Source organism: Homo sapiens, chromosome 10, assembly GCF_000001405.40.
Source record: "Homo sapiens chromosome 10, GRCh38.p14 Primary Assembly".
Lineage (NCBI taxonomy): Eukaryota > Metazoa > Chordata > Mammalia > Primates > Hominidae > Homo > Homo sapiens.
Genome location: NC_000010.11, coordinates 124555789 through 124583320, shown reverse-complemented (window position 1 = coordinate 124583320; position 27532 = coordinate 124555789). Strand labels below are relative to the sequence as shown.

At 51.5% G+C, this 27532-nt stretch overlaps 1 protein-coding gene across 7 annotated transcripts in view, besides 3 other annotated features; it reads right to left on the bottom strand.

Annotated features, from left to right (window-relative positions):
- LHPP (phospholysine phosphohistidine inorganic pyrophosphate phosphatase) overlaps positions 1 to 27532 on the bottom strand; it is a 152319-nt gene that overhangs the window by 30821 nt on the left and 93966 nt on the right. For 2 of the 7 annotated variants that reach the window (XM_017016509.2, XM_017016512.2), the window contains one exon: positions 26485 to 27058. The exons of 4 other annotated variants lie outside the window; for them this stretch is intronic. In XM_017016509.2, coding sequence (XP_016871998.1) covers positions 26950 to 27058 — 109 coding nt within the window. In that variant the 3' untranslated portion in view covers positions 26485 to 26949. Of the gene's footprint in view, positions 1 to 3033; positions 3580 to 26484; positions 27059 to 27532 lie in introns of those variants that run through there. One more of the 7 variants, XM_024448122.1, reaches the window with a different exon arrangement.
- Positions 15679 to 15848: an enhancer, noted in NCBI's record as "experimental_10873 CRE fragment used in MPRA reporter constructs". NCBI's record gives its function as "activates a minimal promoter by MPRAs in K562 erythroleukemia cells, with activity observed for both the introgressed and non-introgressed 10:126256127 variant alleles {active_cell/tissue: K562}" and the evidence as "EXISTENCE:reporter gene assay evidence [ECO:0000049][PMID:34662402]".
- Positions 16372 to 16949: an enhancer, noted in NCBI's record as "H3K27ac-H3K4me1 hESC enhancer chr10:126254941-126255518 (GRCh37/hg19 assembly coordinates)". NCBI's record gives its function as "activates a minimal SCP1, AML or CMV promoter by ChIP-STARR-seq in primed H9 embryonic stem cells {active_cell/tissue: H9 hESC(primed)}" and the evidence as "EXISTENCE:reporter gene assay evidence [ECO:0000049][PMID:30033119]".
- Positions 23095 to 24075: an enhancer, noted in NCBI's record as "H3K4me1 hESC enhancer chr10:126247815-126248795 (GRCh37/hg19 assembly coordinates)". NCBI's record gives its function as "activates a minimal SCP1, AML or CMV promoter by ChIP-STARR-seq in naive H9 embryonic stem cells {active_cell/tissue: H9 hESC(naive)}" and the evidence as "EXISTENCE:reporter gene assay evidence [ECO:0000049][PMID:30033119]".

The window sequence follows — 27532 nt, the reverse complement described above, 5'->3', positions numbered from 1 at the left end:
GCAAAAGTGAATTAACAATGTATCAAAAACCTATCTGTTACAGCTAAGAATATATAATTCTTAGGAGAAAACACAGGGGTAAATCTACATGGCTTCAGATTTATCAAAGGATTCTTAGATATGCCACCAAAACTATAAGCAACAAGAGAAAATAAAAGATCAAATGGACTTCATCAAAACTTTAAAAACTTTTATGCTTTAAAAAACAACATCAAGAAAATGAAAAGACAACCCACAAAATATGAGAAAATACAGTTGACCCTTAACAACTGGGTTTGAACTGCATGGGCCCACTTATATGCAGTTTTTCTTCTACCTCTGCCACCTTGAGACAGCAAGACCAACCCTCCTCTTCTTCCACCTCCTCAGCCTACTCACATCCTACTCAATGTGAAGACAATGAAGATAAAGACCTTCATGATGATTCACTTCTGCTTCATGAACAGTAAATATATTTTCTTCTTCTTTTTTTTTTTTGAATAGAGACAAGGTTTCACCATGTTGCCCAGGCTGGTCTTGAACTCCTGAGCTCAAGCAATCCACCTGCCTCGGCCTCCTAAAGTGCTGGGATTACAGGTGTGAGCCACCACACCCAGCCCCTTATGCTTTTCTTAAATTTTCTTTTCTCTGGCTTCCTTTATTGTAAGAATATAGGGTGTAATACATACACAAAATATGTGTTAACCAATTGTTTATGTTTTCAGTAAGTCTTCCAGTCAACAGCAGGGTATCTGTAGTTAAATTTTGGGGAAGTCAAAGGTATATACAGATTTTCTACTGCATAGGCAGCAAGCACCCTTAACTCCCATGTTATTCAAGGGTCAACTGTACCTGTAAATCATATATTTGATAAAGGCCTTATATCCAGAATATATAAACAACTCTTACAACTCAATGATAAAAAGGCAACTAATCCACTTTTAAAATGTGCAAAGGAGGCTAGATGTGGTGGCTCACACCTATAATCCCAACACTTTGAGGGGCCTAGCCAGGAGGATTGCTTGAGGCTAAGAGTTTGAGACCAGCTTGAGCAACATAGCAAGATCCCATCTCTATAAAAATAAAAATAAAAATTCACCAAGAATGGTGGTGCATACCTGTAGTCCTAGCTACTTGAGAGACTGAGGCAGAAGGATGGTTTGAGCCCAGGAGTTCAAGGTTGCAGTGAGCTGTGATTGTGCCACTGCACTCCAGCCTAGGTGACAGAGATCCTGACTTTAAAAAATATATATATAAATAGGCCAGGTGCGGTGGCTCACACCTGTAATCCCAGCACTTTGGGAGGCCAAGGTGGGTGGATCACGAGGTCAGGAGATCGAGACCATCCTGGCTAACATGGTGAAACCCCATCTCTACTAAAAAATACAAAAAATTAGCTGGGTGTGGTGGTGGGCACCTGTAGTCCCAGCTACTTGGGAGGCTGAGGCAGGAGAATGGCATGAACCCAGGAGGCGGAGCTTGCAGTAAGCCAAGATTGTGCCACTGCACTCCAGCCTGGCCGACAAAGCAGAATCTGTTTAAAAAGAAAAAATGTGTGTGTGTGTGTGTGTGTATATACATATATGTATGTATTAAAATTGTGCAAAAAATTTGAATAGACATTTCTCCAAGGAAGACATACAGGTGGCCAATAAGTACAAGAAAAGATGCCTGACATCACTAGTCATCATTGTAGGGAATTGCAAACCAAAATCTGAATGAGATAGTACTTCACCAGCCACTAGAATGGCTAGAATTAAACAGTCAGATAAGAAGCGTTGGTAAGGACATAGATAAATCAGCCCTCATACACTACTGGTGGGAATGTAAAATGGCATAAAATGGTGCAGCTGCTTTTGAATAGTCTGGCAATTCCTCAAGTGATTAAAAATAGATACCACGTGACCCAGCAATTCCACTCCTTAGGCATATATTCAAGAGAAATGAAGACCTATGTCCACACAAAAACTTGCCCATGAATCCTTATAGCAGCATTACTCACAATAGCCAAAGGCAGAAACAACCCAAATATACACTAACACAGGAATGAATAAATAACTGTGTTCTATCCATACAGTGGAGCATTATTCAGCCATAAAAAGAAATGAAGTCCTGATACATGCTACAACATGGATGAACCTTGAAAACACGCAGAGTAAAAGAAGACAGAAAAGGCCACATACTATATGACTCCATTCATAAAAAATATTTAGAACAGGGAAACCCACAAAGGCAGAAAGCAGATGAGTATTTGCTTAGGGTTACAGAGATGAGGAGGTAACTAAAGGGTACAAGGTTTATTTGGGGGTAATGAAAATAGCCGGGCATGGTGGCTTACGTCTGTAATCCCAGCACTTTGGGAGGCCAAGGCGGGTGGATCCCAAGACCCAAGATCAGGAGTTCAAAACCAGCCTGGCCAACATGGCGAAACCCCGTCTCTACTAAAAATACAAAAATTAGCTGGGTGTGGTGGCGGGTGCCTGTAATCCCAGCTACTCAGGAGGCTGAGGCAGGAGAAGTGCTTAAACCCAGGAGGCAGAGGTTGCAGTGAGCCAAGATTGTGCCATTGCACTCTAGCCTGGGTGACAACAGCAAGACTCCATCTCAAAAAAAAAAAAAAGAAAAAAAAAAAGAAAATGTTCTAAAATTGACTGATAGCGATGGTGTATGAATATAATAAAAACATTAATTATTCACTTTAGATGGGTAAATTGTATCATGTGAATTATGTCTCAATAAAGCTTTAAAGATACATTTAACAGGAACTGATAAATATGAAAAGCTGACATGACAGAGGTGGCATTATAAGTCAGTGAGAGAAAAGGTGGACTACTCAAAAGTGATAATGGAACAACTGTTATCCACATAGAAAATAAAATCAAATCCCTACCTCACACCATATACACAAGTCAAATTCAAGTAGATTTGGAACCTGAATGTGCAAAGCAAATCTTTAGAACTCCTGAAGGAGAATGTAGAATATCCTTCTTTCTAAGTATAACAAGGAGAGGGATGAATTTCTTAGACAAGATAGAAAATGCACAAACTACAACATCATGATTAATACATCTGATTATATTTTAATTTAAAACTGTGTCCCAATAAGAGGCCATAAACAAAGTGGAAAGACAAACCACAGACTGGGAGCAGATGTGTGCACCACATATAACTGACAAACGAGTGGGAGTGAAATGTATAAAGAATGGCTACAAATCAGTAACAAGCATTCCACAGTGAAGCTACAAAGGATATGAATAGGTAATTCACAAAAAGGAAGTTTCAATGGTCAAGGTCATCAAACATTTGAAGAAGTGCTCAAGCACAGTAATAATATAGAAAATGTGGATTATATTACAACAAAATACCATCATAGTCTTAAGAGAAGAAGTTTAAAAAAATCTCACAATACCAAGAACTGGCCAGGATGTGGGATAATGGGATTCTTTCCTACTGCTGGAGGGGACAGAAATGGCACGTCCACTTTGGAGTCATCAACAGCGTATATCTAATTAGTAAAACAGAACATACATGTTTGCTCCAGCGAGCTCTTCTGCATCAGAGCTTGCAAAACTTCCTGGACCACAGGAATCACTTAAGTATCTGTTAAAAGAAAGAAAAGATTCCTGGCTCCAAATATCAGACCCACCAGAGCAGACCTGGAAATATGTATATTTAACAAACTCCCCAAGGTGACCATATTACCCGGCAAGTTTGGAGAAAAATGCTCTGAAGAACACCTAGCACCATATTTGCACAAGGAGACACATCCAGAGCTGTTCACAGAAGTGTGATCTGTGATCATGAAAAAAACTGGAAACCGCCTACATGTCCATCATCAGGGGACTGGAATATAAATTGTGGGACAGCCATACATTGAAATGCTACAGCACAGTTCTGGCCTCCTTCCTGGCCAACACTGAAATGCTGATTTCCAGAGGCCGGCCAGGCCTCAGAATGAATAGGTGCTATGTAAGTTTTCCCCTGTTGGCGCCGTGTCCGCGAATATAGTTGAGGGGAAACTGGACGGCACTCAGTGCTGTGATTCTTCTGCCTTCCCCAGAGTTGACTGCCTCCCAGGCAGGACTGACTCAGACTGGCCAGCGCCCCGGTGGTGGGCTGCCTGCTCAGAGGGCGCTCAGAACGCTCGGCCCGGGAGATGTTCCTTAAAGAGGGGCTGTCCGTAAGCTCCTCTGGGGAATATGAGATACACACCCACTCTCAGCCCGTTACAACATGTATCTGCTTGCTGGTAACCGGGAAGACCTGCCTTAGAGCCACTTCGACGGGGAGACCCAGTGACTGTGCCTGGAACAGCCTCAGGGGAGTGTGCCAGCTTCAAGCAGCCAGAATTTCCCAGGCTTACACAGCGGACCCCCCCGTCCGTGCTATCCTGCCCCTGGGAATCCCTTCTGGCCCTCCAGGGAGGCCTGAGGCCTCTGAGCAGCCTAAGATGGGTGGAGCCAAAGCTAAAGCAGCACTCAGGGCTGTGAAGAGCTTTTTTCCACAGTCAGGACAAAATGTGCCAGGCACTGGCCCCATGCCCCCTAGGTGCTGGGCTGCACTGGATGGTGGGGGTGCAAGCGGGGAGGGCAGAGATGCTGCTCAGCCCCTGCTAGCTTCTGACGCGTGGCGCGGTGTAAGCCCTGCATCCAGCAACTGTGCCTATGTCCCCTCAGCTCTGTGCCACCACAGCACCTGCCACACACACAGTTACATCCTCCCTGAACCCTCTCCCTCCCACACTGGCCAAGGCAGGGTGAGATGTCACCCTCTGAGCTCCCCAACACCCTGTGCCTCCTGATCAGAGCCCGTCACACCAGTGGTAACCGTTTGCGTCCCGCCAGTCCTTCACAGCAGACGCTCCACCTCAGAGACACTCAAGAACCCCTGCTGAATAAATGAATGGATGAATGAGTGAGCAGATCGGAGAAGGACACGTGAGGGCCAGTGACACATCGGGCTCCGCAGAGGACCCCAAGCCATGCCTGTGGCCCTGTGGCTCACCTGTCAAGTGGGGACTCGCAGAGCCGCCCCTGAGGTGGTCACGGGGCGTGTGCTGAGCACAGAGCCAGCAGCCCCTGCACGGACTTGGTCTTCGTTCTACTCCCTTGCAAATGCCCTGGGAAGCAGGTCAAGGCTATCAGCAGGGAGCAACCTGTGAAGGCTTCCTGGAGGTGACAGCATGTGGTGGGGCCTAGGAAGGCAGTGGGAACTCCAAATGTGTCTATGGGAGGAAGAGCGACTCAGGTGTGTGCCTGACCACTGTCCTGGGGCTTGGTCCCAGTCAGGTTCTCGGCTGGGGCCACTCTAGCACACCTGGCATAGAGGAAGAGGTCCTTCCAGCCCTTGGAAAGCACAGTTAGAGGAAACCTGGGTGGCACTCCCAGGATGGGGCTGTGTGTGCTGCACCGAGGTGGGGACCAGTGTGGCCCCACCTCACCTCAGGTAGCTCAGAGCCTGGGGGCTGAGAGGTCACACAAGGAGCTGGAGTAGCTGAGTACAGTTGTGACGGGGCCACAAGATTCAAGTCCCAATGCTGCCAGAGTGGAGGAGGGGCAGCCCCAAGGAAGGCCTTCCCCTGGGGAGGGATAGGAAGGTGAAGGTATGTGCATATGTGTGCACACATATGCATGTGCATGCATGTGTATTTACACATGTGTGCATGTATGTGTGCACACATGTGTAGGATGGGGCAGAACTGGTCACTGCTTCACATCAGGGAAGGAGAGATGACCACAGGGTGACATTTCAAAATGAGGAAGGCAGGGCCAGGCCTCTAAGGTTACCTGGTGCTGGGTAAAGAGGGACCTGGCTGTCCACCTGCCTCAGAGCCTCAGATTCCCTGGGGAACCTGAAAGCCGGAGGTGTGTCCTCTGGAGAGTCTCAACTGACAGTTTATGCAGCTAATTAAGTTTTTTCTTTGGATCCATAAAATCTCAGGGTGGACTCATTCCAAGGGATGCCTTCCTTTAAAGAAAAGGTTAGATGGGAAAAGGCTGTATGGGTGGGCCAGGGGTGGGAGGTGACCCCTGTGCCCAGGAGGCTGGGGTGGACGCTGGGGATGGTCTAGTCTTGGGTTGGCTGGGCTTGGCTGAGCCACCCTGGCCTCGGCCATCAGACACACAGCCTGGCGGTCGGGAGCACAAGCTCAGGACCCATCAGCCTACCTGGCCCTTCTCCTGGTCCAGCACGGACCCACCTGAGCAGGCTATGGAACCTGTCTGGCCTCTGCTCTCCTAGCTCTGAAATGAGGATGACAATGGTACCTACTTTCTAGGGTCTGGAAAGACTGAGTATGCGCTCAGTAGACTCTATTATTCGGTTTCCTTATCCTCAAAATGCAAATTACAGTGCCTACTTTATTTCTGGGTCGTGGCTGTTGAGAGGGCGGAGCAATGTACCTGTGCACTCAGGATCATGGCGGGCCAAGTCCCCTTGACAGTGGCACATGGAGGCCTGGCTGTGGTCGGGTGCTCAGCAGCCCACCCACGGGCCCGGGCTGGATGAGGTATCGTGGGCTACGGAAGGACAGGTGCACGAGGGCAGGGCTTTGCACAAACACTAATGTGGTCTCCCCGTCTACAGGGCAGGTAACTCCTGCCCTAAAGAACCCCCCTCAGCCCCCCAGTACCCCCGCCCTCAGCTCTGCCTATCCCTCGCTCAGGGAAGGAGTTTTGTGTGTGCAGTGAGGAGACCTCTGTATCCCATATTACCAGCAGGCCTGGGGGCAGACCATGGAGGAGGGTCTGGGGGCGAGATATGGGGGAGTCTGGGGTAAGATATAGGGGTGGCAGCAAAGGGGGATCTGGGGGCAGGCCATGGAGGGGGGTCTGGGAACAGCATATGGTAGGGAGTGGGAGCAAGATATAGGGGTTCTGGAGGCAGGATGGATATGAGGGGGTCTGGGAGCAGCTCATGGAAAGGAGTCTGGGGGTGGGATATACGGGTACCGCAAGGGGGGTCCTGGGGGCAACCCCTGAAGTGGGGTCTGGCCCTGCTGCCACCCCAGCGCCCCCACATGCTGCCTCATACCCCACACTAGTACTTTATGTTCTGCCGGGTTGGTAATGGGTTTTTCTTTGAACACGTTTCTGGGAAAGCTGTATTCTCACTCCTGCCTGCCAGGTAGTTTTAACATGTGTGAGCACTCTATTAGGCAGTACAATTATAATCTCATGTGAAGTCACCCTCAGCAGCTGATCAAGCCCGGGGTGTTCAGTGAACACAGTGGTTAAGAAACCAGGTCTGAGAGCTCCGGACAATGCAGAAACGACCAATCCAGTGGGAACCCCCATTTCTTTCGGCTCATACCTTTCTCATGAAGCACTGATTAGTATGTATCACAGCAGGCCCCAAGGGATGTGAACGTTTTCAGGGGGCCACCAGGCTGCCCAGACCCCCGACCTGGCACCCAGGTCCTCACCCAGCCCTGGCTCTCTGCCGTCCAGGCACCTCATGCCCCTGCGACCTCGCACACCCAACACGCCAGCCTTTCCTTCACTCACTCATCCACATGCACAATGCCTTTGGGGGTCAGGGTGTGGGGGACCGGGATGCAAGTTGGAGGTGGTGAGAGTGCAGGGGACACAGATCCGACCACGTGACGCAGTGGCAGTGGGTCCAGGGAAGCTGGTGCAGGAGTGGACAAAGGGGGCCAGGACGAGGGGAAAGACAGACACAAGGGCCAGCCAGTCCTGCAGACGCCTACAGAGGTCTCTGCTCAGAGCTTGGACCAAAGTGCTGAGGTAGGAGTCAAGAAACCCTGTAGCTCCTGCCCCCAGGAGAGGCTGCAGGACATGGGCACAGGGGACTGTCATGGAAAATCAGGGGCTGACGCATCCTAGGAAGAACAAAGCAGGGGTCCTGCAGAGAGAGAACCGGGTGCTTCTGCCTCAGGCAGCTGGAGAGGGCTTCTCCAAGTAAATGGCGTATTAGGGAGTGAACTGTACCTCCGCCCCCACTGAAGCCCTAAGCCCCAGTGTGCCTGTCCTTGGAGATGCGGACAGCTTGGTTTTGTCGGATGCTCCCCATGGTTAGGCTGAGTGGTGCGTTGGGGCAAGGGCACCTGCAGGAGGTAAGCTGCCCTTCTCAGCACACCAGGGGTGCACGCCGCTTCATGACTGGTGACATGAACCTTGATCACCTGGCCAAGGCTGTGTCCACCAGGATTCTCCACCGTAAACTTCCTATTTTGCCCTTTGTAATTGCTCAATATTTGGGGGTGGGGGGAATTACTTTAAGACTATGCAAAAATATTCTGTTTCTGCTTAAACTCCCCAAGGGCTCTGTTTCGAGGCTGCCAAGTTTGAGATACTTCATGATGGCAAGGGGGAGGTTGCATGGCTACTGATGGCAGCTTCTGAGCTCAGGGGAGGGCCCGGCAGGAGGCAGAGGCTGGAGAAGCATCATCTGGCTGGGTTTAAGGCCACAACCCAGGTGGGTTCCCTGGGGAGAGAGTGGAGAAGGACAGCAGTGGGCCCAAGCCTGGAGCCCATGACCTGGAAGATCAGGAAGGGATGGAGGCCTCAGGAAGACGAGGAGGGGTGTGCTTCAGGATGGCGGCCCCTCTCCCACCTCTGGACCTCCGACCATGCCCTCCCCCAGCCTCAGCTCCACTCCCTCCTGCTCTGTCCCTACAAATCCCCCCTCTGGCCCTACGGGGCCCAAATCAGATGCTGCCTCCTCCAGCACCATTCCAGGCACCCGGTGGGATGCGACCACTCCCCTCCCTCGGCGCCACCAAACTCAGGACTTTGGTTGACCCTTGGGTCAGCACAGGTGCCGGGTTCAGATCGGCCCTGGGAGCAGGCTCCAGGTCTGAAGCTCTGCAGCCCCCGGTGCCCACAGCTTCTGCACACAACACCTCCCGCAGATCAAAGCCAGACTGAGCTCCCGCCCATCCTCGAGCCAGGCTCTCTGCCTGTGAAGTTCTGGGGACTCGAGGGGACTATGCCGAGGGCCCCTCTTGGGGCCCTGCTCTTGGTGGCGAGCGAATCCGTGCGCGCCCTCGCAGGGGGGCGAGCCTGCTGCTGGCGATGCTCCCGGCTCACGCCCCCCAGCAAACCTGTGCCCCTCAGCGCCACGCTGCCTGTTTGCTGTGGCTGCGCGCTGAGATCCATATGTCAAAAACGACTTACTGTTCTGCGCGGCAGCAAATATTTTGGCAGGCGGGTCTCATCTGCTTGTCTTTCGGGTTTCACACATGTGCACGCAGATGACACATGTGGTCTATGGGAGGCAGAACTCACAGGGGCGTTGGGAGGAGCCAGCACCAGGGCTTCGTGTCCCCTGGACCACGCCAGGTGCTCCTGCAGCCTCCATGGGTGACACCTGTGGGGCAGCACGGTGGCTCCAGGGGAGCCAGGTCCCTGGAGGCTGTGGGGGTGGCTTTTTGATTCCCAGGTCTCAGACATAAACTCGGACCTGAGTCTCATGTAAACAAAATCAGCGTTTGGGTGTCAAGTGTGGCAAGCTGCATCCCCCCACAGCCCCCGACAGCTAAGCCTCACTTTCCTTGGCTGCAAAGAGACTGGGCTGGCCTAGGGGGCCCAAGTCCATGATCTCACCTGGGCACACTGTTCAGTGATGGGGGACAGTGGGGCCCTGTCCCCTATGGGATGATGATGTGGCAGCAAGGATCAGGCACGGCAATCCCACTTCAGGGACTGTACCTTAAACAAATAGTCACACAAGTATACAGAAGCATATGTTTGTAGTAAAATCCAAATAAAGACTGGATATAGTGGTTCATGCCTGTAATCCCAGCACTTTGGGAGGCCAAGGCAGGAGGATCCTTTGAGGTCAGGAGTTCAAGACCAGCCTGGGCAACACAGTGAGACCCTGTCTCTACAAAAAATAAAAAATTAGCTGGGTGTGGGGGCGTGCACCTGTACTCCCACCTACTTGGGAGGCTGAGGCGGGAGGATCACTTGAGGTGGAGACTATAGTGAGCTATGATCTGTGCCACTGCACTCCAGCCTGAATGACAGAGTAAGACCCCATCTCAAAAAGAAAAAAATCCAAATAAAGTCTGGTGTCTCATGAATAGTGTGGGTACCAATGTCAGTTTCTTGGTTGTAACAAATGTACCACAGATGTGTGAGGTGTTCACAGAGGAAACTGGATGAAGAGTGGATGAAAACATCCTAACTCCATAACTTTTCTGTACATATGAAATTATTCCAAAATAAGCTTATTTTTAAAACACAAACACGTTTATAAAAGAATGTTCACTGTGACACTGCTTAAGTAGCAAAAAACTAGAAGCAACATTATTTACCAGTCTGGGAATTGTGAGACACACAATGGCACAACTGCGTTACCCACACCACGCAGTTGAACGCGAGGCAACTCCATGCACACTGATACATGCCCTGAGTGCGTGGGTGTCGCCATTGAGGAACCAGGATTGGTGGAGCTGATATTCTGCTATGATCCCAGCAACGTACAGAGTATGTGTTTCTACACACGACAGGGACCACAGGACTGAGCTGGATGGGAGCAGCAGCGATGACCTCTGCCAAGTGCAGTGATGAAATGACGCCCATGGTCAAACCTCTGGATTTCTTTATTATGTGAACAGAGCCCTCCCCACCTCCCCTCTTCCTCCCTCCCTCCCTTCCTCCTTTCTCCCTCCCTCCCTTCCTTCCTCCCTCCCTTCCTTCTTTTTTTTCTTTTCTTTCCTTTCCTTTCTTACTTTCTTTCTTTTTTTGAGATGGAGTCTCGCTCTGTCGCCCAGGCTGGAGTGCAATGGCGTGATCTCGGTTTACTGCAACCTCCACCTCCTGGGTTCAAGCGATTCTCCTGCCTCAGCCTCCCGAGCAGCTGGGATTACAGGCACCCACCACCACGCCCAGCTAATGTTTGTATCTTTAGTATTGACAGGGTTTCAGCATATTGGCCAGGCTGGTCTCGAATTCCTGACCTCAAGTGGTCCACCCACCTCGGCCTCCCAAAGTGCTGGGATTACAGGCGTGAGCCACCGCACCTGGTCTCCTGAACAGAGTATTTTCTTTGCAGCATGTACACTTCTCGGTGCCAGTGACCGCCACCACTCCGTCGGTTACTGCAAAAGCCTCCTGAGCAGTCCCCCTGCTCTGCCCTCATCCCACTGTGACCTTCTCTCAAACAGCGGCCAGAGGGACCTTTTGAAACCTGAAGGCAGGTCATTGCTCTCTTCTGTGCAAGGCCCGTGATGGCCAGCCTGGCAGAAGAGAAGCAAAGCCTTCGGCAGGCCTGCCAGCCCTGGCCTCTCCCTGCCAATGCTTCCCCTACCCCTCCAGCCACCTGAGTGTCTTCCTCCAACACCCAAGGGGCTCTGCAGTGGCTGTTTCCTCACCTGGAATGTTCCTTCCCCAGAACTCGCATTAATCTCCCTTCCCCAACCCCTCACTCACCCCCCTAGGTCTTGGTTCAAATCTCATGGTTCAATGAGACCCACCTGAACCCACCTGTTTAATGACAGCCCTTCTCATCCTCTTACAGACAACCCAACTTCCTCATCCATCGCCATGTTGTCTATCTTCCTCTGCTAGCATGTGAGGCCACAGCAAAGGCCTGTGTCTCTGACTGATGATGCTTCCTGAGGACCAGCGTGGTGCTGGCAGGGTGGCCAGCCAGGGAACACGGTTAGGGAGCAAAAGACTCAGCAAAAAAACACAAAAAGTCTGTAGTATAAGAGGTCCATGATCTCATAAATGAACTGGACTGCATTACCAGAGTCACATTACTTAACCTTTCCATCTGAAACACGGGGGGCTCTGCCCTTTGCTGGTCCTCCTCCCAGGCACAGGGTCCACAGCTTTTAGGCAGTGCATCCTGGACACCTTGTGCAGGGCCATTCAGCCAAGCCCCTAAAGGTTCCCATTCAGCATGTTGTTTGGTAGGTAAATTTCCTGAACGGAAGTGAATAAATTTACTTTCTTCCTTACATATTCCTATCCAGTCTTTAAAAATGGCCGCTCGTTACTCAAAAAGTTAAACATGAATTACCACATGAGCCAGGAATTCCACAACTAGGTATATATCCAAGACAACTGGAAACGTGTCCACACAAAAACCTATACATTAGTGTTCACAGCACCACTATTCCCAATAGCCAAAAAGTGGAAGTGTATCAGTCCGTTTTCACACTGCTGATAAAGACATACCAGAGAGACTGGGCAGTTTACAAAAGAAAGAGGTTTAATGCACTTACAGTTCCACGTGACTGGGGAGGCCTCACCGTCACGGCAGAAGGTGAAAGGCATGTCTCACATGGCGGCAGACAAGAGAAGAGAGCGTGTGCAGGGCAACTCCGCTTTTTAAAACCATCTGATCTTGTGAGACTAATTCACTATCACCAGAACAGAACAACATGGGAAAGACCTGCCCCCGTGATTCAATTACCTCCCACAACACATGGGAATTCGAGACGAGATTTGGGTTGGGATGCAGCCAAACCATATCAGGAAGCAATCCAAATGTCCATCAGCTGATAACAGATCAACAAAATGTGGCCTATCCACATAGTGGAATATTACTCAGCCACAAAAAGAAGTGAAACTCTGATACACACCGTAACACAGATGAACGGTCAAGACATTAAGCAAAGTGAATGGAGTCAGACACAAAAGACCATGTATCGTCTGATTCCATTTACATGAAATGCCCAGAGCGGGCGAATCCACAGAGATTGAAAGAGGCTGGAGGCTGCTAGGGGCTGGGGGTGTGGGGAGTGGGAAGTCACTGCTAATGGGTACAGGGTTTCTCTTTGGAGTGACAGAATATTCTGGAATTAGAGGTGATAGTTGCACAGCATTGTGAATATATTAAAAACCTAAAGACCACTGAATTGTGTATTTTAAGAGGAATTGTATGGCATGTGAATATCTCAATTACAAAATTAAAAACCTGGCTGCTCATAGGGTCACACCTCTGATTTGGGGACAACCTCAGCTCACCGACTGTCCCCTTCATTCCAAAGGCCCCTGGGCCAGCCCAGTGCCCGACTCACATAGGCACTGGGTGAATTCTGGCTGCACTGAGCTAAACCAGAGGGACCCAAATTAAGAAGCTGTGCACAGGGCAGAGGGAGACAGTGAGTCCACTGGTGGCAGTGAGGGCCCAGAGGAGGGCTGTGACGGTCACTGTGGGTGCCATGGGGACAGAGAGGGGCTTTTCCTCCAGTCCCTCCTAAGAGTAATCCTGGAAGCTACCAAGGAGATTGAAGCCAGGGAGGGACTGGCCAGATCTGCCTGTTACCAATACATTTTAAACCTAAATTAATAGTCACAGTTTTTCCCAGTAGAAGGCCCTCCTCACCTGCTGTGGGCAAAAGAGGAAGTGGCCGGGTGAGCTCTACACTGCAAGTCAGGGCAGGGGTGACCTGGGGTCGGGGGGTCTGACTGGGAAGGGGCACGGGGAAACTTCTGGGTGCTGGAATGTTCTACATCTTGATCTGTGTGGGGGTTACACGGGTGTACGTGTGTGCAAAAATTCAAACTGTACACTTGATGTCCTTTCCTGGGTGTTATACCTCGATCAACATGTAGAAGAGAGAACAGAGACACCTTGCTTGTGACTGGTGACACTCATCAACCCCATCTCGGCTCCGCTGCCTTACAGGTCTGTTTCCCTTCACAGCCTTCATGGCATCTGTGATGGTGGAGGTGGCAGGTGACCATCTCTGTGGACACACATGTCCCTGAGATCCCCCAGCCCTGGTTCAGGGCCACAGAGTGCAGTAAGCCACTCGGCAAATCCTGGCCGAGTGAATGAGCTGCATGGGACAAAGGGTGTTTCCAGGCTGCCCTGCCCACCCTGCCCGCCACGTTCCCGTTTGCCTTTTCCATTTGCTTTGGAAACGCTGCCCTCCCAGCTCTGCCCTCAGACTTTCCGCGACAGAACTCAGCGCCTGGCCCAGGACAGCAGAGACAGCAGGCCCTGCAGCAATGCCTGGAAGAGACAGCAGCTCTGTAGGCTGTCCCGAGGGGCCACTGTGCGACACAGCCCGACAGACAACTGACGGGGTGAAAGGCCTCATTCCTACGTTTGCACAACCTCAAAAACCTGATCCAAAACTAGGGAGAGAAAAAAATCCCCACTTTTGCTAGAGCCTGGGCCTCCCAGTGGCCTGTCTCACAGTCTCAGGGCCACCTCAAGCCACAAGCAGCTCCCTCTGGGCAGAAGAAAGACAGCCATTCCTGATCCCGGGCCTTACCCGCAGGAATGAGCCCCACCCAGGCAGTGTGCATGTGGAGGGGGACAAGACCCCAGGGCACAGACCTGCCTTGGAAACAAAGCTTACCCCTCACCCCCATTACCAGCAGGTCCTGCAATGGCCACTCCAAGCCCGTGTCTTAATTGCCTAAAGCTGTGGGAGGGCGCTGGGAGCACGCTGGGAGCCGTGGGGGGGACAGAACATGCCAGTCGCCAGCACAAGCTCATTACAGACAAACCTAGGGGGGCCTCCAAGTGTCCCCAGGCACCTGCTCTCACTTCTATAGCACACAGAAAAGGCCACCGGCAGCAGGACTGTTGTTTAAAAATTAAATGAAGTGACGTGTGTAACGGCGAGGTGAGGGTGACCACTCCAAAGCTGGCCTCCTCCTCACTGCCCTGGGGACAACAGTCTCCTCTCACAGGTCTAGGATGAAGAGCATTAGACACAGAATCCCAGTGCCAGCACACGCCCATTGCACCACAGGACCTGTATGAGAACATTCCAGACCCCATTCCATGGTCCAGCACGGTAAGCCTCCATCGGTATTCGGAGAAATGGCAGAACACGACTTGCCACGAAGCGGGAAGTGGCCACACCTCTCCACGCCACCGCGGAGGGATCTCACAAGCGCAGGGCTAAGCAAAAGCAGCCAGACTCGAAAGGGGCCTCATCGCGCGGTTTCACCTCCATAAAGCAAAGGAGCGAACAAAACTGTCCCGGGGGCAGAGGCCGGGGAATGGTCACCCCGGGGATGGGGGTTGCAGGCAAAGGGCAAGAAGAGGGTGGGAAATGTCCTGCTTCTCGATCCGGAGCTGGTTTCAGGGATGTATTTCACTCCATGAAAGTATATCAAATTGTACCCTTATGATATGCACACGGCTCCGTAGGTATGTTATTCTTCAATAAAATTAAAGAAATAAGAACCAGCCGGGCATGGTGGCTCACACCTGTTATCCCAGCACTTTGGGAGGCTGAGGCGGGCGGATCACGAGGTCGAGAGATGGAGACCATCCTAGCCAACACGGTGAAACCCCGTCTCTACTGAAAAATACAAAAAATTAGCCGGGCGTGGTGGCACGCGCCTGTAGTCCCCCCCTACTAAGGAGGCTGAGGCAGGAGAATCGCTTGAACCCGGGAGGCGGAGGTTGCAGTGAGCCGAGATCGCGCCACTGCACTCCAGCCTGGCGACAGAGCGAGACTCCATCTTAAAAAGGAAAGAAAGAAAAAAGAACCGTGGAATATTATATAGCTATTAAGACCATGCATTAGAGCAGATCACAGTGAGCCCTCGTGTCTGTGCACTCGTGTGTGCACGTGGGTACAGTGTGTGCATGCATGCGCATGTGTGTCCATGTGTTTGTGCGTTGCATGCGCGTGCACATGTGTAAGTACATGAGTGTGCATGTGTGTGCATATGCGTGTCTAACCGAGGAGAGTAACAGCTCAGTCGACCATAGATCACAAGCCACAGCTGGGAACACAAGTGGCCGCTGCGGCTGGCTGGGCTGCTGACCAGCAGTGCCGCCCCTTGTCAAGCCAGAGCGTTGCCCTGTGGTTACTCGGGGATATTAAGAACTCCAATAGCCCACAAAGGACGTCTTCAGTCATAACACCAGTTACTATCTATTAAACATTGCTATGAGCCGGGCGGCCAGACAAGAACCTCACTTACGTTTTCTACTCTCTTATTTATTCCCACTCATGAGTGGAGGGGGCCGAGGCTGAGAGAGGCAGCCAGGGGCGCGTGGAGGGCAGGCAGCGGCTGAGCGGGATATGATGCCCGCAGCCCTGGTCGGCCCGGGCGTGCACTCGCTCCCTGGTTGTGTCTTCTCTCTGATTTAGTAGACACTCATCAGTTTGCTCTGCCCAGGCCTGTGGACACAGGTGACCACGGCAAGGCCTGCCCACCTGGAGCTTCCAGTCCACTGCAGGGACAGGTCCTGACACAATCACAGCAGAGGTCTGGATGAAGGGCTGGGGCATCCCAAGGATGGGGCTGCAAGGGCAAGAGCCCGTCTCTGAGCTCGTGGAGTTCTGGGAGCCCCCTCAGCTGGCCTGCACCCCTCTCCTCAGGCCACCTGGACCCCCGCCCTCCCTCTCCACCGGGAGCTCTGCAGGCTGAGCAGGGCCTGCCTCTGTGGGGTCCCAGTGCCTGGAGATGTCATCTGGAGGAGAGCTGGATGGGAGCGGGTGTGGGGCTCCTGAGGGACCATTTCTCTTCTGCACCCCTGCTCACAGGGATGTGCGACCAGCACGGCTAGAAATGGGGCCTGACCTTGGGAGGGAGGCTTCTGCCCCTGGACAAAGTGCAGGGAAATCCAACAGAATCCCAAATGGCCCTCCAGCCCTGGCTGCCCCCTCAGACTCTCAGCCTCCTCCCTCTGTCTCAGGTGCCCCCGACCTCCCACCACACAGCCTCACAGTGGCCAGGCCAAGTGTCTGCTGCGACTCCATCCATCAGTCCTGCACAAAAGACCCCAAAAGGCAGACGTGTGCTGGTAACTGGCTCTCCGGGATGGGGTAGGGGTGCTGGGTCCGTGCATTTGCCAACTTCCATGGTGTAAATACTTCCACCGTGGCCAATTTCAAGCTACAGAAGAGAGCTGGCAAAAGACATCACAACTGACTCCTGCCAGTGGGTCCAAGCAGGCTCCAACACCCCAAGGCCTAAATCACAGGCACCCACAAGTTGCTTGAGGCCATGGCTTGGTGACAGTGCAGAGGACACCAGAGGAGGCTGGGCAGAAGCTGCAGGAGTGGCTGGCACCTGCAGTCTCCCTGCCCAGCGCTCCCAGGGGACAAGTAAGCAGAGTGTGTCCCCCAGGGGGGAAAGGACAACCCCTCCTGAAAGTGAGTCTCCCAGGGGTCCCATGATGCCAACCAGACTCCTGCAATCAGGAAGGCGCCAAGAATCTGGAGAGCCCATAACCACACGCCCGGTCTCCAGGACCTGGCCCACTTCAAGTAACTGGAGAAGGTGATGCTGGGAGGCCAGGCTGGGCTGGAACCACCGGGCTCTGCCACACCTGTCCCTGCTCTTGCTGCCGCCGGAGTGGCATGGCAACTGCCCACAACAAACATTGCCAGGCAGCCAAGCCTGGCCTTGCGGGCCACCCAGGGGTACGGCGACGGCTCCAGGCCCACCTCGGCAAAGGCCCTCTGCGGACTGCAGGGGGCACTCTCCGCTCTGCTTTCTTGGTCTTCTCCAGTTTCTGAGGGTGTCAACCCTGGATTTCTCCTTAGCTCCTGCAGTGACACCCCTTCCCCCTCCTGTCCCCACTGCTGTAACCCGACGCCGGGCTGGAGCAGGGCGGATCCACAGGGCCCTCGCCAGCCTTCCCCCTGCCTTCCTGTGACCTTGAGAAAGGCCAAAGCGGTCTCCAGGTCCCCAGCTGCATGTTGGGACGATGGGAACATGGCTTCTTCCGCCTGTGCCAAGAAGTGATACCAGAAAAGACCTGGAAATTCTTGGACGACAGTGGCCGCCTGGGGCGCACGGCGTGGGGTAGCATTCCTTTCTTGTCAGGCTCCGTCCTGAACAATGTCCTCCCCAGTGCGTCCCTTAAGGGCACAGGGTCAGAGTGATATGCTAGGCTGCACAGCTATTGATTTAAAAATAGTGTCCTTTCTAAAATTAGACATCAAATCTGGAACCCCAGCTCCATGGATCCTCCTCTCCCCAAACTAAACCTAATCCTCAACATAAACTGCCACAGAGGCTCACAAGTGAATTCTTGGGGACTATGGCCTGCACGGAGAGCCTGAAGACACCTGTCTGTATTTCTCGACCCTCAGTAAGGGATGGCAAAGGAGACCAGCTCTTCCTTCTGCAAGAACAAGCTAGCGAGCAGCAAGCAACAAACAACAAACAAAACCCCCTACTGCAACCAAAAAATTATTTCCAAGCAGGGGAGGTGCCCTTCTCATGCGTGCTTCTCAGCTTTTGCAGAAGCTCAGGTTGCTGTGGGGAGGGGAGCTTCGGCGAGTGAAGCCCCTTGAGTACCTCAGGGGGGCCTCACTTATTGCCGGGCGTCGTGTTTGCAAACATCAGAGCAGAATGCATAAAGATGCATGGAGCCTCACACAGAGCGCTTGCTGGACAAGGACACCTCGTTCCCTCCCACTCTTCCTCCAAGTCCCCAAAGTCCACTGTATCATTCTCATGCCTTTGCGTCTTCATAGCTTAGCTCCCACATATCAGTGAGAACATAAGATGTTTGGTTTTCCATTCCTGAGTTACTTCACTTAGAATAATAGTCTCCAATCTCATCCAGATCATTGCAAATGCTGTTAATTCATTTAAATATATGGTATAACTTTTCCATCCTAAAAATGTAATATAACCATGCCACACATTGGACTTAGAGATAGGAGGAAAAACTCTCCATAATTCCACGGCACAGTGCACTGTCCCCAGCCCAGACTCAACATCCTACCCTGAGACTGCCTCCTTACACATCCGTCTCTCACTGGGGAACCAGGAGCTTATGCTCCGAATACTCATGCCTAGCAGGGGCTCTGTTCATATCTGTAGGAAGGACGTCAGGAGACTGATGTTCAGACAGACCGCTAAATGACAATCCGAGGCTGGGCACGGTGGGGCACACCTGTAATCCCAGCACTTTGAGAGGCTGAAGTGGGAGGATCACTTGAGCCCAGGAGTTCAAGACCAGCCTGGGCACCACAGTGAGACTCGTCTCTATAAAAAAAAAAATTGGCCGGGCGCGGTGGCTCACGCCTGCAATCCCAGCACTTTGGGAGGCCAAGGTGGGCAGATCACGAGATCAGGAGATTGAGACCATCTTGGGTAACATGGTGAAACCCTGTCTCTACTAAAAATACAAAAAATTAGCTGGGTGTGGTGCTGCGTGCCTGTAGTCCCAGCTACTCGGGAGGCTGAAGCAGGAGAATCACTTGAACCTGGGAGGTGGAGGTTGCAATGAGCCAAGATCGCGCCACTGCACTCCAGCCTGGGTGACAGAGCGAGACTCCGTCTCAAAAAAAAAAAAAAAATTTTTTTTTAAATCAGCTGGGTGCTTCAATGTGCACCTGTAGGTCCAGCCACTCAGGAGGCTGAGGTGGGAGGATCGCTTGAGCCCAGGAGTTCGAAGTTGCAGTGAGCCACGATCATACCACTGCACTCCAGCCTGGGTGACAGAGCATTCCATCTCTTAAAAAAAAAAGTGTTAAATATAAAAAGTAAATGATGAACCATTCCAACTCCCCACTGCCATCCCACTGCAAAAGCATCTGTCTGGCTGTGCAGCTCCTGGTCTCTTTCTCCCAGCGGCATGCTTGTCCCAGAGTTGTCATTGTTCTGAACCAAGAACGCCTGTCATCAGCTCCTGCCACTTATCATAGGCATTCTGGGTTGCTAGGTACAAAGGCTTTTCTTTTTCTTGTTCAATTGTTGCTTTAGTAAACTTTTAATTTGGGGCTAATTGGAGATTCACATGCAGTTGTAAGAACGCCACTGACTCAGTTTCTCTTAACAGTAATATATTGCAAAACTATAGAACAATATCAAAGTCAACAATTGACATTGATACAGTGAAATAAAGAAGCTTTCCATCACCACCAGGACCCCTCAGGCTGCTCTTTATAGCCACGCCCACTGCCCTCCTGCCCCGCCCCACCCCATCCAACAGTATCTGTTTTGCATGATAGAATTTTGTCATTTTGAGGATGTTCTATACATGGAATCAGAAAGTACATAACCTTTTGGGATAGGCTTTTTTCACTGGGAGTCCATCCAAGTCATTGTGAGTATCAAATTTGTTTCTTTTTTCTGCAGGATCTGGATTTTATGCAAAAAAAAAAAAAAAGAAAAAGAGAGAGAGAGATTGTTTCTTTTTATTGCTGAGTACTATTGCATGACATGGATGTAGTTCCTCTCGTCACCCACTGAAGGACACCTGGATTGCTTCTAGTTTGGGGCTATTATCAATAAAACTGCAACGAACATTTGTGTATAGGTTTTTGTGTAAATTATAATTTTTCATTTCTCTGATAACTGCCCAGGAGTACCATGGCTGAGTCATGTGACAGTTTTACATTTAGAGTTTTAAGACACTGCCAAGCTATTTTCCAGAGCATTTGTATCATTTTACCTTCTCACCAGCAATGTCTGAGTGATTCAGATTCTCACTGTTCTCATCGGCATTTTTTATTTTAGTCATTCTTTTTTTTTTTCTTTTTTTTTTTAGATGGTATCTTTCTTGTTTTGTCGCCCAGGCTGAGGTGCAGTGGCATGATCTCGGCTCACTACAACCTCTGCCTCCCCAGTTCAAGTGATCTTCCCACCTCAACCTCCCAAGTAGCTGGAATTACAGGCGAGCACCATCATGCCTAGGTAATTTTTATATTTTTAATAGAGACAGGGTTTTGCCATGTTGGCCAGGCTGTTCTCGAGCTCCTGGCCTCAAGTGATCCACCCACCTTAGCCTTCCAAAATGCTGGGATTACAGCTGTGAGCCACCACGCCTGGCCTATTTTAGCCATTCTGATAGGTGTGTAGTGATGTCTCATTGTGGCTTTAAATTGCGTTACCCTAGTGACTCATGACATCTTTTTATGTGCTTATTTGCTATTTGGATATCATCTTTGGTGAAATGTCTGTTCATTCTTTTCAGTCTATTTTTTCTCTGTTCTGATTGGGTCATCTCTATTTTCCTGCCTTCAAGTTCACAGACTCTTTCCTCTGTCCCCTTGATTCTGCTGTCAAACCCATCCATGGAGTTTTCTATTTTGGCTACTGTATTTTTCAGTTCTAAAATTTTCATTTGGCTCTTCATTGTATCTTCTATTTATTTGTTTGTTTGTTTGTTTGTTTGAGACAGGGTCTCACCCTGTTGCCCAGACTGGAGTGCAGTGGCGTGATCTCAGCTCACTACAACCTTGACCTTTCAGGCTCAGGTGATCCTCCCACCTCAGCCTCCTAAGTAGCTGAGACTACAGGTGTGTGCCACCATGCTCAGCTAATTTTTTAATTTTTGTAGAGACAAGGTCTCCCTGTGTTGCCCAGGTCTGGTCTCAAACTCCTGGGCTCAAGTGATCCACCGACCTCAGCCTCCCAAAGTGCTGGGATCACAGGCATGAGCCACCGTACCTGGCCCTGTATCTTCTATTTCTTTGCTGAGACTTTCTACTTTGTCATTTGTTTTGAGCATATTTGCAATTGCTGGTTGAAGCATTTTTCCAGTAGCTGTTTTAGTCTTTGCCCTGACATCTGTGTCATCTCAGTGCTGGTGTCTGTTGGTCTTCTCTTCTTATTCATGTTGGGGTTTCCTTGGTTCTTAGCATGACAGGTGGTTTTGTACCACAAGCTGGACATTTTGGGTGTGTGGTGTGAGACTCTGAGTCTTATTTAAACCTTCCCTTTCAGTGGCCTTCTCTGGACACAACTCAGGCAGGGGAAGAGGGTAGTGCTGCCTTATTCTGCTTGGGTGGGGTGGACGTCCAGGTTCCCCACTTGGCCTCTGCTGACACTGAGGTGGGGGAGGTGCTCTCATTACTGCTCTTCAAGGAGGAAGTTTTCCCCTGGTTGGGAGGTGCAGGAATCCCTCATTACTGTGTCCCATGCGGGCTCCATTGTCACTGTTGTGGGGGGGGCGGATAGCCTTGTAACCTCTGAGTGGCGATGAAGTCCTGACTCTTCAGTATGATGCTGCCCGTCCAGTGGGAGGGGAAGGGATGTCTTGTCACCACTGACTAGGGGAAGCACAGGCTTACCATGTGGTCTCCACTGATGCTCCAGCTGGGGGACCTCATTCCCACCCTGCTCCTGGCTCCCTCCTTGGCCTTCTCTGACACCCCCAGTGGTAGGGGCTCATTTCAGCCTGGTCAGTGTTTTGGTCCAGGATCCCTGCTGAGCCCTTGCTGGCACGAGTAGCTGAGGGGGCCACAGGGTTTTCTGTGGTGTTTGGCTGGAGTACCACAGTTATTGCCTAAATGTTTTCTGTCTCGCCAGGTGCCCCTGGCTTGGTCCTTCAGCCAGGGAGAGCAGGCTTCTGCAGAGGCTCTTGCTGGCTTCTTCAGCTCCACGTCTGAGATGTGCAAGGCACAAAGGAAACCCAGGGAATTCACCCCTCCACTGATCCCCAGGTCCTGAGGTCCCTGGTCAGTCTGCCTTCTCCTCTCTTCCTTTCAGCCTCTTCTGTTTGTTTCATAACTGACGTCCAGGGTTTTTCATTGCACTTGGCAGGAGGAATAGGGAAAGGCACTTCTGCTCCATCTTGCTGGAAGTGGAAGTCTCTAAAATGCTCTTCACGGTTTTGATTTTCTCCTCTTGCAGCCAGGGTGGGGCTTTGGGTGAAGAAGCATCATGTGTCTCTGACAGATGCTCCCCTCAAAGTGTTCGCTCTGCAGAAGACCCCGGAGAGCCCTAGAGGGGCTCCTCCGGCAGGAGCCAAACCCCAGGCCCCTCTGTAGTTGGGCCGGCCAGGCTCCAGCCCCTCGTCCCCGGCTAGTGCCCCCGCTCACCTGTGAGCCTGACGTCGGGAGCACGGCATGTTCTCTAGAGGCAGAATCACCACGGAGACCCACTCTGAGTCATGGCTAATTCTGCTGTACTGACAGGGAGGAGAACAAGAGGCCACGGCGCTCCCTGAGCAGGCCAACGAGGAGGGTATTTTTAGATTTCCTTCTCCCACAGCTTTAGCTAAGACTCAGCAATCTGGTCTTTTCCCTGCAGGCCAAATTGCAAACGCAGATGGGTCTGTTTCAAAGCTAACAAGTACATGCTATAAAATTGTACATAAAACACAATCTCAATTATGTTTAAGAAGTCCAAAAAAAATGGGAGTGGAGGAGACGGGAAGGAAATATGCCACATGTTAACTGATGTTGCCGGTGGATTATGAAAGGACTTTTTTTAGCTGCTTCTTTTTGATTGTTTATAATTTCCAAATTTTCCATGTGAATATATTACATTTATAAAATTAAAAACAAAATTTAAAACCAAGAAAGAGTCCTCTCTCCATATACAACAACGTAGTGACCATATGAAGCCATCACAGGCTGAGTGTCTCACCTGGACCTGAGGTTATTCCTCTAGACCATGAGCTGTGCCAAGGCAGGACTCCAGTGCCCTGGTACAGGCTACAAACCAGATCGCAGGGCCTGGAAAGTGGAAATGATGCCTCCTCCCAGCTCCTGAAAGCTGCTGTCTTGCCCAGCCCCAGGGTTTTCTGCTTTGGGTGGCACCTCAGGTGGCAACACCATTGCAGGGAGCACTTGGCAGCGCTGGCTGAAAATGTGCCTGATTCCACGGAACTTACTGCCCATGGGCTACTGAGCCAATGGCACACACCCCAGACAGGTGCCAAAGGCCTGCAAGGGAAGGCCTGTGCCACCAAAGGACCAAAGATGCAGGAAAACCCAGCACTTCCAAGAACTGATCTCCCCAGCCATGGCTTACTCCAGACTGGCCGAGGAAGTCCTCCAGGACTGAGAAAAGAGTCCACTCATTATCCTACGTGACATACGCAGCAAGACGGCTTCCAGCCTCGGGCAGCCGGATTTCCAAGTGTTGCAGCATCCCCAACAGGTACACTCTGGGCCTCACCAGCCTCACCTCTGTGGCCAGGGTGGTGACCTCCATTTCCACACAACTTGTGATGTGACTTCGCTGGAAGGGTGTGGACCTGGGGAAGCCAGCCAGGCCCCTGGTGGGGAACCTGGGACCCAAATCTATACCAGTGCAGGTCCGTAGGTGTAGCTGAGATCCAGCTGGTATACACCACAGGGGCAGGTGCTCTGGGAGCCCACCCATGTTCCACCAGCAGATGGTCAACGCCAAGAGAGCCAAAGGGCTCAAAAGAAAGGGCACTTCCAATATCCAGGCCAACTCAGCAAACATTCCTAACTTCAAACTCATCTTCAGATAGCACTGTTTTGCCAGAAGCCACCCCCATAGAGTGTCCTCTGCTGGTCCTCTCCCTCCTCGAGTCTCCTGTGTCCTTAACTAGCCTGGGGGTAGAAACCTTGCCCGCTGCACCTGCTACCTGGACATCATTGCCAACTTCTTTGCACATAGGTGGGGGCCGCGGCCTGGCCCTTGTGCATGGTAACCTCTGCAGAAACCACCGAGGGCCAGATGGGAGAATAGGGCCAGGCCTGGCCACTGGGGCTGTCCCGGGTGCAGGAAGCCAGCTGTGTCTTATAACTCCTTTTACTTCCAGTGTTAAGGCCCCACGATTCCAACAGAAAAGGTCGAGAGAAAAATGAATGCCTTGACATTTTTTCCAAATATCCTCCCAAAGAGTGCTTGGCAAGAGGGCCTGGTTTCGCTACGCATGGGAATGCATATGGCCGCAGGGGCCTGCTCGGATGGCTCCTAGTTTTGTTTGCTGAGACATCTGTGTCCTACTAAGCTTGACACTGGGACTGTAAAGAAAAACAAAACATGGAAATGGGGACTCCAAGCTCTACCAAAATAAAAGTGAGTCCTGAGCCCGTGCGTTCCACATTGGGGGTGCCATGGGGGGTTGGGTAGCATGGTGAGTGCCCCTGCCCACTGGCCCCCAACCCCCACAGGGCTGACCAGGATGCCCACTCAGGGCTTCTGCCTAGGTCTGCCCCTGGAAGCCTTCTGGCTTCTGAACCAGCGACACAAGGGCACACACTCTTGGGAGAGGCTGAGACGCTCCAACGCCAAGCGGGGACAGAGCAGCTCAGAGGGCCACGTCCAGACTCAGAGCCCCTTGCCGGTGGGACCTTGGGCAAGTGAGTGATGCTTCCTCCTCCTGTCGCCCTCATCTGGAAAGTGGGATTCTCGTAAGGGCTGTGCATAGCAACACGCGGCTCGTGGGGCCCACTGGGAGTGCCAACTAGGTGGTGGCTGGCTGGGGACAGGGAGGCTGAACAACTGCTAGAGGACGTCCACTCAGGGAGGCCACAGGCAGCCTTTCCAGCTGCTCCCAAGCCAGGGCTCAGCTTCCAGACTCATCACTATGACTCCCTCCCACCAGAAAGGCCACTAGGAAGTGGCCTTTCCCCTAGATCTGCTGGCCCAGCTGCAGCACAAGAAAACGGAGCCACGTGGCTGCTTCTCCCTCACAGCCTGGTACACCCTCCAAAGCACCAGGCAGATGGACAGGAAAGCCAGAGATGAAGCAGATACAAGAGGACAGGCTCCATGTGACCATGCGCAGTGTCACGGTGTCAGGACGCGCTGACATGAAGGAGCCGAGGCCGCCCCAGGCTGCAGGCAACGCACCCCACCCCTGCCATGCCCTAAGCTCACTAGATGTCCACGGGCTCATGTGTTCAGGCAACACGCTCCACCACTCAGCCCAAGACCCCCAGGTGGGATCCCTACCCTGGATCCCCCACGGTCCACGCCTGTGCAGCCATCCCTCCCCCAGTGTGCTCTGTACCCTGCTTGGCCAGCCTTGCCTGGCATCATGTGACTCCACCAATGGCCCTGCAGGGAGTGAGCCCACCAGCAGGGTAACCACAAAGTCATGGGAGGCTTCATCCCCAGCCTCACCCCAAGACCTGCACCCTCACCCTCCTCTAGGATGGAGATTTTCCAAGTGGACTGTGATTTACTCTGAGACAAAAATCATTTTGTTATGTATCCTTGTCCTTGAATTCCTGAGGATATGGGGATTTGGGTAAAAAGTAATCAAATAAAGCTATACGGTGACTCCCACTCCAAACACAAACAAAGGGGGCTAGTGCGCCCGAGTTCCCTTTGGAACTCGTCCAGCGGCTCTGGTTTGTAGCTCACCCAGGTTACCTGGGCACCATCCCTTGTGCAACAGGCATTTGGTGAGCACTACTGAGTGCCAGGCCCTGGCGAGGCCCAGCTCTGCCCGTTCGCGTGGGCCTTCTCTATCAGCTCAAAACCAGGTCTGCCTACTGAGCACTCAGAACTATCCACACCACAGCCGTCCAAACTTCCTTTAAACTGCACACCAACACCTCATGGTACAGCCCAGAAAGTGAAGTCTCTGATGGCTGAGGGACATCCCAAAGTCATGCTGCTAGGAAGTGGCCGAGTGGGGATTTGAACCCTGGTCCGCGTGGACTCCAGGCGGCCTCAACACTTCGAGGAGTTGGGACTAAAATGTGATTTCCTCAGCCAGGATCCTCATGAGCACCGACCGCCTGTCTCGTGCGCCTGAAATTAATTTGCTAGCATCTTCAGGCTGGTCTCTGATTGGTTAGAGAACAAAAAAGAAGCATCTTCTCCAGAGAATAAATGAACCACAGACTCTGCGCTCCATCTTTGATGAAATGCAGATTTCCCATTAAAGAAGAGCCTTCGTTTAAAAAACATACAAAAAAGACTGAGAAAGGATATGAATATGCAATTTATAGAAGAAACAAATATCAGCGACTGAGGAAGACAGAAAAAGCCTTTAGTCTCATTATCAATCAAAGAAGATCCCATTCTTTTCCCATTGATGGAGGCGCGTTTTAAAAATGACACTGCTAGTCCTCGGTGTTATTTGTTGGTGAGGGTGTCGAGAGTTGCAGAATTATCCACAGTGCAGATGGGAGAGCAACTTGATGTCTGGAGGGAGAATTCTGCAGAAGTACCAAACACCTTAGAATTTTGCATACCCTTTGACCCAGCAATTCCATGTGTGAGAAGTTATCTTAAAGCAAAAATCCAAAATAAGTGCAAAGCTATGCTACAAGGATGAGCAATGCAGTTGGGTTTACAATAATGAAGAATTGGAAACACATGGAGCATCTAACCATAATACTAAGGGACTGTTTAGGATGCGTCCACACGCGGGAGCAGGGTGCAGCCATTAAAACGATGGCCCCGGAGAATGCACGGTGGTTTGGAAGGGTGTTCTGGAACTGGGCACTGGGAAGAGATGTCCCAAAACAGCCTGTGCTCCTGACCTCACCTGTGGACTAGAACACAGAGGACACATTTGTGCACACAGTTTGGAAGGTGGACACCCAGCGGCATCAGAGGTCACCGTCACCTCTGGATGGTGGGCTGGTCGGTGGTTTACCCTCTGCCTTTCACTTCTTCAGTTTACTGAAGTTTTCAAGAGGGAACACAGACACAAGTTTAGGGGCCTGAATTTGAATACCACCTCTGCCATCTCATAACTGTGGCCTTTGCAAGGCTGTAGAGACAAAATGAGCCAGTGCATGTAAGCACCAAATAAATAGTGGGCACTGGGGTCAACCAGCTAGGGCCCAGCCTGGTTGCACTACGTCCCAGCTGTGTGACCTCGGGCCAGTGACTTCATTCATCTGTAAGGGGGAATATGGCCTGAGGACTTGGGTGCAGGTTCAGCAAGGTAACATGTACAAACAGCTCGGGGCAGAACTGAGCCCAGAACAAGAGCTCAATAATGTCAGTGGTTTTATTATCAA